Here is a 15,448-nt window from a genome sequence, read left to right as displayed (position 1 = left end):
CAAGTACTCTATCAGATATAAATTTGCAAATATTTTATTTCAATATATCATTTGTAATTATATCAACAGCTTGTTTCATGGAAACAGACTTTTTAATTTTGAAGAAAACCAATTTATCAATTTTTTTCCTTTTATGGAGTATATGTTGGTGTCAAATCTCAGAACTCTTTTCCTAGTCCCAGTTATCAAAGATTTTCTCATTTTTTTTCTAGAGGTTTTATAACTTTATGTTTACATTTAAGCCCACAATCCTCTTTGAATTAGTTTCTGTATAAGTTGTGACACTTTTGTTAAGGTTAAATGTCCAATTTGAATTTATGAATGTCCAATTACTCATATAAAATATCCAATTGGATATTTTGCCTAGAAAGTTGAAGAGGATGGGCCTTTTCAGTTGAATTGTTTTTGCTCTTTTGTCAAAAATTAATTGCGCACAATTATGTTGGTTATTTCTGGGTTTTCTGTTCTGTTACATTAACTTCTGTGTCTGTTCCTCTACTGATACCACACAGTCCTAAATGCTATCTCTATATAGTGTACCTTAACCTTGAGAAGAGTGATTACTTCCACTTACTATTTTTCAAAATTGTTTTGGTTATTCAAGGACCTTTATCTTTCGGCATAAAATTTAGAATAAGTTTGTATATGTCTGCAAAAATTATTGCTGAGATTTTGAAAGCGATCTGAAGAGAATCCATCCTTTACTATGTTGAATCTTCTATTCTATGAGCATATATATCTTTCCAATGATCTCCTTCTTCAATGTCTTTCATCAGCATTTGTAACCTTTATCATTATATCCTATACATACTTTCTTAGATACAAGTGCTCTGTCATTCTAGATACAAGATTTTATTTTGTATGAAAATGAAAGATTTTATTTACTTGGAGTAATGGTTAATAGGGTTGTATTTTTATTTTCAGTTTTCACTTATTTGTTGATAGAATAAGGGATCATAATTGATTTTTATATGTTGATATTATATCATGTAACCTCACTGAAATAACTTCTTATCTTTAGAAGTTTTTGTATATTCTTTGGAAATTTCTTCATATAGAGTCATGCCATATGAAAATGGAAGTAACTTTATTTCTTTTTTCAAATAAGTATGATCATTATTCCTTTTGATTGCCTTATTGCACTGGCTAGAATTTTCAGTTACACATTGAATAAGAATAGTTAGTGGACATCTTTGTCTTGTTCTGTATTTTTAGACAGAAAGCTCTCAGAATTTTATCATCAAGTATGATAATAGATACATGATTTTTGTTTAATTATTGTATAAATGATCTTTATTAAGCTGAGATGTTCTCTATTTCCAGTGTGCAAATTTTTGTCATAAATCAGTTTCATTTTGTCAAATTGTTTTTTGACTTCATTGATATGATCATATAATTTTTTTCTTTAGCCTTTTGATATGGTAGGCTACATTGAACACTTTTAAAATATTAAGCTTAGTTTGCATACAGAAATATATTTCATTTGTAAATCTATTATTATTTTATGAATTGGTAGATTAGATTTGCTAATATTTTGAGGATTTTTATGTAAGTTTATTAGATATATTGACTTATAACTTTCTTTCGTGGGGTGGTTCCTGAATGTTTTGTTACCAAGATAATACTTTCCTCATAAAATAAGTTCAGAAGTGTTTTATTCTCTACTATTTTCTAGATAAAATTGTATAGATTTTGTGTTAATTTTTTTTAACATTCAGTGAAATTCTATAGAGAAACCATACAGACCTTTACATACTAATTTTAGTGTCTTTTAAAAACACATTTCTTTAATGATTACAGACTATTCAGTTTATTTATCTCATCTTTTCTTAGTTTTGGTAACTCATGATGTTTCTATAATTGTTATATTTTATCTAAGTTGCTGAAGTTATGCATGTCAAATTCTTTGTTATTAATACCTTATTATGCTTTCAAAGGCTGCAGGCTGCATTGTGATTTCTGATATTGATTACTTGTGTCCTCTTTATTTTTGTCAGTTTTGTTAGAGTTTTATAATTTTTTTAAAACATGTATTTTGAAAGAACGAGCTTTTGGTTTTATTAGTTTTTTCTATTTATTGTCTGTTTTAAATTTCATTGATTTTTGCTTTTACCTTTATGGTATCCTTTCTTCTATTTGCTTAGTTTTATTTTGCTCTTCTTTTTCTAATTTATTGAGTTAGGAACTTCCATGACTACTTTGAGATCCTTTTTCTTTCTTCTTTTTTTCTTCTTCTACTTGTATTATAGGTTCCAGAGGTACATATGTGGGTTTGTTACATGGGTAAATTGCATGCCACTGAAGCTTGGTCTACCAATTATCCCATCGCCCAGGTAGTGAGCATAGTACAAATAGATATCCTTTCAACCCAAGCCCCCATTCCACCCTCTCTTCTCAAGAGATCTCCAGTGTCTGTTGTTTCCATCATTGTGTCCATGTGTATTCAATGTTTAGCTCCTGCTTATAAGTGAGAGCATGTGGTACTTGGTTTCATGTTCCTACATTAGTTTGTTTAGAATAATGGCCTCAAGCTGTATCCATTTAGCTACAAAGAATGTAATTTTGTTCTTTTAATGGCTATGTAATATTCCATGGTGTACATATATCACATTTGCTTTAATCCACCATTGATGGACATCTTGGTTGATTCCATGCCTTTGCTATTGTGAACAGTGCTGCAGTGAACATATGAGTGCATGTGTCTTTTTAGCCAACATCATACTGTATGGGCAAAAGCTAGAAGCATTCCCTCTGAGAACTGGATGACCACTCTCACAACTTCTATTCAACATAGTACTGGAAGTCCCAGCCTGAACAATTGGGAAGAGAAAGAAATAAAAGACATGCAAGTAGGAAGAAAGGGAGTCAAACTATCTCTCTTCACAGATAATATGATTCTATACCTAGAAAACTCCATAGACTCTCCCAGAAGGTGTCTATATCTGATAAATGACTTCAGTAAATTTTCATGATACAAAATCAATGTACATAAATCAGCAGCATTTCTATACACCAATAATGTCCATGCTTAGAGCCAAATCAAGAACACAACCCCATTCACAATAGCTGCAGAAAGAATAAAATACCTAGGAACCCAGCTTGTGAAGGAGGTGAAAGATTTCTATAATGAGAATTACAAACACTAACTTGAATCGTTTTTGGGAATCAAAACTTTCTGGCTCACCAAGGTAGGAGAGTCAACGACTGAAAGTGGACGTGGAAATTATGTGTATAAAACAAGTCATATATGTTTAGTTTGGTACTAAGCAATTAAGAAGATATGGGATCATCATACATCTTTAGGGAGTAAGTATATATAAGGCACCAGTTAAGTGAGAAAATTGAATGACAATGAGATACAATTAGAAAAGAAAAAGAACAGAAAATACTCAGTAAAGAAAAAGGAAAAGAAAAACATCAACGAGTAAAAGGAAGCTTTATTTATATAGTAGAGTTTACCAAGATGCTGTGTGTTTATTTTTCACGAGTAATGGAGTGTTTTGTTTGGTTTTATTTTTATAGATAAGAGAATCTTTTCAGGTTACCCATTATTTTTCCTCAGTGATTGTTACTTCTTCTTATCTTTCAAGAAAAGTAACAGAAGAGATAATTCCAGTAGCTGAACAAGAAATACAGAACCAAATAATTTTCTGTAAAAGACTGTCTCCCATAAGAAACAATTTATCTCCTTACAAAAGGAATATTCACATATATTTATTGCTTTTAATTTATATGGTATGGTAAATTCTATGGAAAATCAAGGGAAGAAATGAGTTTTCCCTTGATTTTCTCTGTTGTTTCTTTCTTTTCTTTTTTCTGCTCTCTTTAGGGCTAACTTGTTTCTGATATCCATTCTCCCTCCATCATGGTTTCCTTACTACGTGAGAATGTAGTAAGGAATGCGCAGGAATGTAGCAAAATGTGCAGGCTGGCACATTTTAGTGTAACTTTGAGAAAAGATGCAATGTATGTTAAAACAAACAGCATTATTATTTGGGCAGCAAATTATTTGTATGAAAGGCCTATCCTTCCAGATCACTAACTCTATGCCTATCCTCATAATTCTTGAATTGTCTGTAGATCACTCATTCATTGAGTTATCTTTTACAATTCATTATTTATTCTAGCCATCACTTTTCACCTTGCCTGATTATATTCCCTGGTATAATAATGTAATTATTCCCTTCCAAACATTTCAACTCTTCCTTTTATTTCTCCCCTTCTACTACTAGCAAAATCCTTATTCTGGTTGAAGCCAGTTATCCTCCTCTCTGGGCGTTCATCTTAATATTTGAAATTGTTGGGTACACTGACTGCTGGCTACATGTGTTCAATTTAAATTCACGATCCCATACACCAAATGGTCAATACTGCCAAGAAATATGGAGAAGACTCTAAAATAATTTCACATGCCTAATGTCCAAGATAATGATTTAAGACTTCCTCTCTTTTCACCCCCTCTCAGCTGATTGCCTTGCATCGTATTCCACTGAGAAAATAGAAACCCTATAGAATAACTTTATCTCAATTCCACCAACAAACCTAGTATTATACTCTACCATAGTCTCCATCTGGCATCTAGTTACAAGAAAAATAATGACCTTTGTCCTATCTAAGAACAGTCCTCTTCTTATGTTTGGCTCCCTTTTTTTCTAAATTACTCCAGGGATTTCATTCTTTTTTGTTTGTTTGTTTGTTTTGTGAGATGGAGTCTTGCTCTGTTTCCCAGGCTGGAGTGCAGTGGCGCAATCTCGGCTCACTGCTACCTCTGCCTCCCGGGTTCATGCCATTCTCCTGCCTCAGCCTCCCGTGTAGCTGGGACTACAGGCACCCGCCACCATGCCTGGTTAATTTTTTTTGTATTTTTAGTAGAGATGGGGTTTCACCATGTTACCCAGGATGGTCTCGATCTCCTGACCTCATGATCCGCTCGCCTCGGCCTCCCAAAGTGCTGGGATTACAGGCGTGAGCCACTGCGCCTGACCTCTTTATTTTATCTTACCAGTTTTTCTTGCTCTGCTGATGATTTCTACAAATACATAAATTAATTCTAATATTTCTTAACTTAAATATCTATGAACTTAAAATCTTCTCTAGTTAATAGCCCATTTTTTTGTCCTAAAAATCATCTGAAAAGTTTTGCCATCACATGTCACCTCCAATTACTTACATTTCTCCTTTTTTTTTTTTTTACTTTAGACCATTAAAACCAGGCTTCTATCCACATTTTTGAACTAAAGCTTTTCCTGTCAAGGATATCAATCATCTTTATATTCTTTTACACAACCTCTACATCAGTGCTATTCAAAATGTGGTTCAAGGTCCAGCAACATTAACAAAGTAATAGCAACTTCTCTGGATCTTCTCTGTTGTTATTCATCCCCCTCTTAATAAAGGCATTCAGGTACTCAATCCAAAATCTTAAAAGTCATTCTTGATTTATCCCTTTGCTCAATCCCCACATTTGTTCTTTCAGCAAATCCATTTCTGCTGACATATTCCTTGTACAAAACATTATTCTCTCTTATCAGACTACTACAATGACCTTATACAAGTCTCTCTATTTCCTCTTTCACTAATACAGTACATTTTATTAATAGCAACCAGAGCAATACTTTTAAAATGTAAATCAGATCATAATACTCCCCTGCTGAAAACCCTTCAATGTCTTCTCATTGCACTTAGAATAAATTCAAACTTCTTATTGTGATCAATGTGAGCCTGTGACCTCACTCCGGTGTACTGTTTCCATTTTTTAAATTGCTGTCATCCTTTTTGTATGATACAATTGTCCTCCATACATTAGCCTCATTGGTATCTATTAATATCTTTAACCCAGTGTTTCTCAAAGTGTGGTCCCTGAACCAGTAGCATAAACACCACCTGGGAAATAATAGAAATGAAAATTCTCGAGTACCACTCAAGATCTATTGATTCAGAAACTCTTGGTGTGGGACTAAGCAACTGGATTTTAATGAGAGCTCCATGTGATTTTGATTATGCTGAAATCTGAGCACCATTGCTAATACATAATATTGATGCCTTGGGGGCTTTGTCCTTAACCATAAGTAGACTATTCCTCTCTGTCTCTTAGTTTGGCAGGTTCCTCGAGGTCCAGCATGAGTTGCTGAATCTCAAGAAGCTTCAACTCCCATTAAACATGATTGAATCACTTGTTTACTGTATTGTCTGTCACTCTCTCTAAAATGCAAGCTCCAACATGGCAGGAACTTGTCAGTCTTGTTCAATACTTTAATCATACTTCTTGTGCAATGTCTGACTCAGGGTAAGCACTCCATAAATGTGTGTAAGGTGAATGTATCCACTGTGAAAATCTATAAATAATAATTTGATTAGTGGGTAATTTTACAAACTCTAATGATTTATCTGACATTTACCATTTGATTGAAAAGAAAAATCTTCCATTTCCCCTCAGAATGACAAAAGATAAAATTCATTAATGTATATGAAATGTGTTTTAATGAAAGATTTTATGCTATCCATTTCCTCAATTATAAAATTAATCAACAAGTTTATATTTGGTATTTACTGTCTAGCAATGAGCTATATGTTATGGATTATAAAACTATGAAGCCATTTTCAATTTAATATGTCAAATTTGTTGTAACAGAAAGATATTCATGTTACCTACATGATATAAATCACAAATGTAATATATATTACTGATTTTTTAAAAAGTTGTAATCACTTTGGCTTGGGATAATTTAAAATTTCAGTATATAATAACTTAGAAAAAAAATAAATGTGTGCTACTTTCATCTGGCTATGATTCACAGAATATTTACGAATTGGACTGGGCAAAATATAGGGCCAATGGTAACTTATTTAGAATGAATTGTGTGTGTAGATTGAAGCTGAAGGAGAAAAATCTGGTTTGGACTATCTCAATAAAATCTGATGTGATTGGGAGGCTGAGCTGGGCAGATTGTCTGAGCTCAGGAGCTCAAGACCAGCCTGGGCAAAACAGTGAAACCTCATCTCTACTAAAATACAAAAAATTAGCCGGCTGTGGTGGCATGCACCTGTAGTTCAAGCTATGTGGGAGGCTGAGGAAGGAGAATCACTTGAACCTGGGAGGTGGAGGTTGCAGTCAGCCGAGATTGCACCACTGCACTCCAGCCTGGGTGACAGAGCGAGACTCCATCTCCAAAAAAAAAAAAAAAATTCTGATCTGAGAGGAGACATAAGCAGAAAAAGTATTTCATATTATAACACAAAAAATATATTCATTAATTGAGGGTAGCATAGAATGAATGCAAGTTTGACAATACAAACAAATTGACCTTCAGATGAAAGAAAAGCTCCATAGAGAAAGAAACCTAAAGATGATATCATAGTGTAGATTCTAATCAGGAACAATAGAAACTTTATGTAAGTATTATATTAGATGTTCCTGATGTGTTGAGCTGACAGTGAGAAAACAGGTTGTAGGTGAAGCCAGCAGTTAAGTCTATCCTCCTGCCGCATGGTGGCCAAACAGATTGGAAACTCAAGGCATAAAATAATCACATAAATTCTATCATGTCTATGATTTGTTATTGTTATTGTTATTACTTTTAACATCAGATTTGTCGAGTAAGATTATGTGTTTCCCCAAATCCAATCCTGACACTTGCCTAATTAATGAAAACATGCTTAAAAAGAAATGTATTTCTTAAAATAAAAAAATGGAAATGTTTTCTGTAATTTTGGACTTACCCAGAGTCCCCAGGTTCCTTGATATAATAATATCTCAATCTCTAAGCAGTAAGTTGATGATGCCATAAGTTTTCCAGCAAAAAGACTCTACCACCACATCATAATTAGGATCCTATCCCCACCATTTTGTTGAAAGTGCTTCCATTATCTTGACCAACCAGCTCCATCTTACCAAAACCAGGGACACCTTTTGTTTTAATTTCATTTAACCTCTTAGCAGTGTTTGGCATAATTAACTATAGCCCTACAACAATCTTATATATTTTTTTGTTATATATCATTTACTTCCCCTTATCAGTTTTCTTTATAGAGTTATGTTTTTATTTGTGATAATTATTTAATTATTCTTTAAATAATTTCACCTCAAGTTTCTGGCCCAGGCTCCTGTCCCCTTTTGCCATTACCCTTGGCAATTTTATCTACTTTCACAGATTCTATTTTAATATAGACTTTGATAACTCTTTAAAGTATTTGTCTACCATAGCCTTCATTACTCAGGAATACACCAATATACAATCAGCTGGGCATATCCACGGGACACAAGGAACCACCGATTCAGCATGTCTAATATGATACGGAACTCCTTTAACTCACCACTGTTTGTGTGAACTCCCCACATTCCTGTGTTGGATTCCTAACCTCCAGTATTTCAGAATGTGACTCCATGTGAAAATAAGCTCTTTATAGAGGTAATTAAGTTGAAATGAGGTCTTTAGTGTCATTAAGACTTAATCCAATGTTACTGGTGTCCTTATAAAAAGAGAAAATTTGGCCGGGCGCAGTGGTTCACGCCTGTAATCCCAGCACTTCGCGGGGCCGAAGCGGGCGGATCACGAGGTCAGGAGATGGAGACCATCCTGGCTAACACGGTGAAACCCCGTCTCTACTAAAAATACAAAAAATTAGCCGGGCGTGGTGGTGGGCGCCTGTAGTCCCAGCTACTCCGGAGGCTGAGGCAGGAGAGTGGCGTGAACCCGGGAGGCGGAGCTTGCAGTGAGCCGGGATCGTGCCACTGCACTCCAGCCTGGGCGACAGAGAGAGAGACTCTGTCTCAAAAACAAACAAACAAACAAAACAAAAAGAGAAAATTTAAAGGTAGATACACACACACACACACACACAAAGAACATAACATAAGACAAATAGAGTGACAAGCCAAGAAACCCCAAAGATTTCCAGCAAAACACCAGCATCTAGTGGGGAGGCATGGGGTAGATTCTTCCTTATAGCCCAGAGAGAACAAGCCCTGCTGACAGCTGGATCTCAAACGCTAATCTCCAGAACTGTGGGGCAATCAATTTCTCCTGCTTAAGCCACTCAGTTTGTTATACTTTGTTATTGCAGCCCAAACAAAATAAAAGAATCACCAAATCCAATAAATATATGGACAAATGATGGGAACACATACTTTGTCAAAGAAGATAGATGATAAATCGGTACATGAGATGATGCTCCATATAATTTGTTATTAGAAAATGCAATTAAAACCAACGTGAGATACTGATACTGTAACACACCCAATAACGTTTCAAAGAAAGTAAAATAAAATAAATGTGAAAACTAATAAAATCCCTGAAAATACCAAGCGCTAGCAGGGGTGCAGAGCAAATTCTCACACATTTCTAATAGATTGCACAATATAGACACTTTGGAAAATAGTTTAGCAGTTTCTTTTAAAGTTAAACATATGCTTATATGACATATCAATTCCACTGTCTTTTCCAAGAGGTAGCAAAACTTATGTCCATGAAAGGCATATTATACTCATGCAAGTTTGATTAATAGCAAAAAATGGGAAAACACCCAAACATCTACTGAAATTTTGGTATATTTACATAAGGTTACTTTGTTCAACAATACAAAAGAACAGACTTATATGTACCATAGCTGTATTTGTTTCCTAAGGCTGCTGCAATTAATTACCACGAATTTCGTGGCTTAAAACGAGAGAATGTATTCTTTCACAGTTTGGGAGGCCAGAAGTCCAAAATCAAGGTGTTAGTAGTCTCACTGTCTGGATGCTTTAGAGGATAATCTATTCCTTGCCTCTTCTAGCTCTGCTGACTGTTAGCATGCATTGATTTGCGGACACATGTCTCTTAGTCATTATTTGTATTCTTTTGACATGTAGGGCACTATTTTCAGGTCCTGGCATTAGGACGTGAACATATTGGAGTGCCCTCATTCAGCCGACTAAAACCAACAAACCTTAAAAGTCTGTGGTAAATGAAATGTCAGTAACAAATGGTACATGTTTCCATTTATATAACATCCTTAAAAACAGGCAAAATTGTAATGACAGAAGGCAGCTCTGTGGCTTCCAGGCACTGAAGGTGGGTGGTAGGAGGAGGGAGAGGTGCACTAATTGCAAAGGGATATGAAGAAACATTTTAGGAATATGGAAATGTATGATAATGATTATGTGGTTGTATACATTTGTTAAAATGCACCAAAATGTATACTCATAATTGATAAATTGTATACTATCTAACTTTACCTAATTAAAAAAATGTAAAGTATAAACTTGAGATGTTTTGAAATTTTTCCTTCATGAAATTTCCACCGACTTCTTTCTTTTGTCCTGCTCTCTTCATAAGTTAGCCCTGTTGTCATTAGTTATGGAAATGCTCTATTTTATATCGTGAATTTTCTGCTAAACATTGCTCTTTAACAATGCATAAGAACACAGATAAGGTTTCCCAGACATTGGTATCCAGGTTGGGAAATGGCTAAGGTATCCATTTATCTTATTACTAACAGCAGAATAATTGTTAGCTTAAGAAAAGGAGAGATTATTTTTAAAAATAAGTATTATTTTATTTTTTGTCTGTAACTATGGTACACTGCTTAGTTACTGGTTTTTGAGTTTAAGGACTCGTCTTTGGAATGAATGTATAGGGAGCAGGCCTATGTGAGAGATGGAAAGAGCAGAGAGGATTAACAACCATGCCAAAGGATGAGAAAAACCACTTCAAGACTGACTTTTTATATTTGCATAAAGTATTTCATCTAAAGATAGAGTAACTTGATTAATCTAATTAACATACAGGAAGTTATTTAAATCATGTAATGCAACATATTGGAAAGAAGGTAACATATATGAAATAAATTAAATGAAATAATGTGGAAACATATACGATAGTAAAACACCTAGTCAATAAATTTAGATTAAATAAGGAAAAATTATACATATTTAGCTAAAGTAGACAATTTAAAAAGTAACACAAATAGCTAAATATGTAAACTCAGGTAACATCACATTAAACAATTAATTGTGCCATTTTAATATTTATTTACTACTTGCCTCTCCAGCCTCACAAGTTGCCATATCCCTGTGCTTTATTCTCTGACGTTGCCTAACTGCATATTTTCTAACATCCCTCACCAACATATAGTCATACCATGCTAGTTTTTTCTTTCTTTTCATGCTATCTACTCCCCTCACCCTCATATAAATCCAAGTTTCTACTTCCTCTTTATCCAGTTTCATTCTCTACACATTCCTTAAGTCTCAGACTCAATTTTGGTTTCAGGCTTTCAAATTCACCCTTGTGGCCCTCTGTTTTCCTTCTCTCTGCCAACTTGGTGCATAATTTTCCATTAGATTCTTTTTTTAAAAAGCAAGGAAAAACCACCAAAAAACAACTATGAATGACTCTACATTAACTTATACAGAGTTTTATAGCTGTCTATTTTCTTGTTTGCCTTCTGCCAGTACTTATGCTTCTTGTCTTTAGAACATTTTTTTCTTTTTTCTTTCCCATCGTGGTGAGTTAACACTGAACACAGTATCTGCAATATCTAGATGTTGTCAGAAAAATGTATTTAATTAATGAAAGTACCTAGAGGTGAAGAATTTGCTAAAACAAAGTGAAGCAAGAAGAAAGCATCCATTGATTTGAATATAGCAGCCAGAGTTTAGAGAGTGAAGCTCAAGCACCTGTTGGCAGCCCAAATTGTCACTGCAGGCACCTCAGCAAAAGTTGTTGAACACCCAGTAGCTATGGAGAGCTCCTGGAACCTCCTAAGAATATAATCTCACCACTCAGTCGTCCTCCATAAAAGTACCTCAAGCAAGAAATGTTTAAAAGAAGAAGGATAAAAAAAAAAATAGAGACAGAAAAATAATACATTCTTTAGGTATAGATTATTCTTAATCAATGTTGTTTCAGAAAATGAAAACTTCTTAAGAGAACGGTGACTTTTTAAGACTATCTCAAATGTTTATAAAATTTAATAATATTCTTAGAAATAGAAGTCTTAAAAAACAAATTCTTAATTTTAGACATTCTTTGCTTACTTCCCGAATTCATTAAGGTCATGACATTCTTCACCTGTAGAAAATCAAGGTTGATACTATCGCAAATAATGAGATGAGTCTACTACAGGAACACTGTAGCTGCAAAGAAAAAAAAGTAATTGTTGATTTACTTAGAGAAGTGTTTATATTATGGAAATATACATGAGATAAAACATGATATTTTATGGTATATGCATTTCATATTTGTTTTTTAATGTGTAATGCATATTAGAATTCATCACTTGAAATCTTATTAGTATACTTCATTTACCCCTTTCACTGCCCAAGGGAGTAAAAATACATGTAGGAAAACAAATTAACTGACTCATATTATACAATTTATCCATAAACAAAATCAGTAACATTAAAGGCATGCGATTAGTATAATAAGAATTAGATAAAAATTTAAATGTATTAAAATTTAATTATATTAAGAAAATGTGTCATATTAGTATGCTGTAATTTTAAGCCACATATTTAAATAAATATATGTATATTTATATACTTATATGAAATATATGAAATATATATATGTGTATATATTTATATATGTTAGCTTCTTTTTGAAATTGAGGAAATCCAACTAACACATGTGCAAGTCTGTGCAATTTAGTTCAGCGAATCAACAAATATGTATTCTGCACCTAATACATGCCTGAATTTCTTTTAGTTTCTGCAGAAATGAAAATCAAGATAGAAAATTTCTCTCAGCTTACATAGCTTATATTCTAATAAATCACCCTGATTTAATGTAGCCCAATCATTTTATAATGAGTTATCGATCTCAATTTCGTACCTTTTTACTTGAGCTTTCTGTTTGTTATTTTACTATATTATCACAAATCTGCAAATTTCAAAAGTTGACCTCAACATCTTCAGAAACTCCATTCCTCCTTAAAATGTGTTTTTAGACTACTATGTATCGCTATATTCAATTTAAAAATAACTTTTTTAGTTGAGATACATGATGTCTTACTCTTTATGTGGCTATCTGATTAAATACAAAAATAACCACATAATCAAATTTATTAGGATTCCAATAATACTGGTATACATCACATAACACTGATCATGGATTTCAATGATGATTTGCACCATGTTATTGGGCAAACCATTATTACAGTTTCTTTATTAATTCATTTATTATTTATAAATTAAGTATCAACTTGGGCTAGGCCATGTGCTAGTAACCACTTTGCAAATAGCTTAAGAAATCAGATTTTCCGTTTTTAAAATTGTTGCTTTGTATGCAAGAAAGAATCTTTAAAAACCTATCTTTTCCTAAATTGACCTATATTTGAACTTTTTTGGAAATATGAAATTACTGTTTTAAATGGGATTTGTCATGATGTAGCAATTAAAACTTGCCTATTTTAAGTGTTATGATTTATGCATCATTAATTATGAGATGCAGAGGTGAAGGTATGCATGTTGACTTCTAGCATTTTTATTTATTTTTTCATCCCTTCTCTCCACCTTACTGAAAAATAATCTTTTTTAATTATAGTGAAGTTTCCAGCCAGATCCTAAAAAGCTAAGACGTATTGAAGAAAACTGCCTTAACTCTCACTTTCTCCTTGTGGCAATGTTATCTATTAACCTCTTCCTTACCTTTTGTTACCTCAGTTATTCAAGACTGTCCACAATTTAAAAATAAAATACATGATTGCTCTCAAAAAATTGTAAAGATGCTGTTATTATAATTACATATTATATATCCAAGATTTAAAAATATAATGCATGACTGCTGTGAATAAAAATTTTAAAGTTGTTGTAATTATGTGAAACATCTTTACAATAAAAAAGTTTATTTAATATCTTCAAAGAACCTATGTGACTATTTTGAGAATATCTAAGCGGTTGATTTGGTCTCTTACTTTGCCTAAAAGAAAAGTTTGGAATTATCATCGTCGTAGGATGCCAGTGGTAAAGTTATGAGAAATCAAATGCATCCTAGTTCCAAAGGCAAATTCTCACATAACTTTCTACCTTTGTGGAGTTAATGGCTCTGATGCATATTTTCTGGACCAGTCTTGTTCCATTTGGTTGTAAGCTATTTTTGGAGAATCCATATTTGGAAGCTGGAAGTAAAAAATAACCCACAGGGCAACTATTCAGCTAGATAGACAGAACTGTAATTTCTAAGGAACTATTTTCCCGGATAAGCACCTTGGTTCCTTCAAACAGTCCTCATAAGAGATGTACTCATACCTTCTCACCATCATTTGTAGTGGCTGCAAAGCTTAGTTTATTTCTTCAGAGGCTTGTAGCTTCCACTACTCTTCTTTATCCACAAATAGCAATCTGCTACCTGTATTCTAGAAGTGTGGTCAAACTTCTAGTTTGTTTATATGTTTCTCTCATTCTTTACGGAGTTGTAGTATTATGAATGGCATTTAATAGATTGCTTGAAGGTAACTATATTTAGTCTACCATCTTTAATTCATCAGCTTGGTAAAATGCTCATTGATGATCATCTCCTCTTTAAAAACCTTAATTTGACAATCATTTAATCATTTATTTCTGTAAATTCATACATCTCATAATATCATAGGTTAAAAAATATTTTTCATTAATTGTATTATTTTCATTTTATTTGGCTTTTATTGCTCTCCTTTTTTACTCCTTTTCCCACAGATAACTCTTAGACCCACAACCAACACATGCACACAAAGACATGCTGGACAACCCATGTAGGCATCTTTTCTTCCATATCTTTCTCTAAGTTGTATAATTTTGTACATATGTAAACACAAATATTATATTTATATGTAATTTGTTTTCTTTTTATTAAATTTGTATATAAAGGGATTTTATAATTGTGTGAAGCTGAAAATTTATGTCAACATATTTGTCTTCATTTTTAATTCAATTATAATTTATCTTGTTATATCAAATGACTTAGTACATCTCCAATTCACTGTTTTAATGCATGCATAATAAGATAAAGTGTGGATATACCATAATATCACAATTTACACAATTATTCTCTTACAAGTAGAAATCCATTTCATTTCATGATTCTTTGCAACTCTAAACAATATTAATATAATTGTCCCCAGTCCTTATAGATTGATGCTTTCATATCAATGAGGTTGATGGGTTGAACAACACAAATTTATATATCTGTATATATTTCCCAAATACTTTGCTAACAGGCTGTAACAATTTATATGTGCATGGACAATATATTACAGTACTCTTGAACATAATTTTCTAGCAGAAAGATGTTAAAAGAATTTTTCAATTTTGACATCTGGTTCCTAAAATGTGATCTAGCTCATTGTTCCTTTTCTTTGCATTACCCTGAAAACTAATGAGTTTGAGCATCTTTTCATTAGAATTTGTTCTTCTATTAATTGCCTCTTCAAGTAATTTGCACATTTTCTAACATTTAGCACTCTTCTTGTCATTTATCAAGTACTATTA

The sequence above is a fragment of the Homo sapiens genome, chromosome 13, assembly GCF_000001405.40.
Source record: "Homo sapiens chromosome 13, GRCh38.p14 Primary Assembly".
Lineage (NCBI taxonomy): Eukaryota > Metazoa > Chordata > Mammalia > Primates > Hominidae > Homo > Homo sapiens.
Note: the sequence above shows the minus strand (reverse complement) of the source record.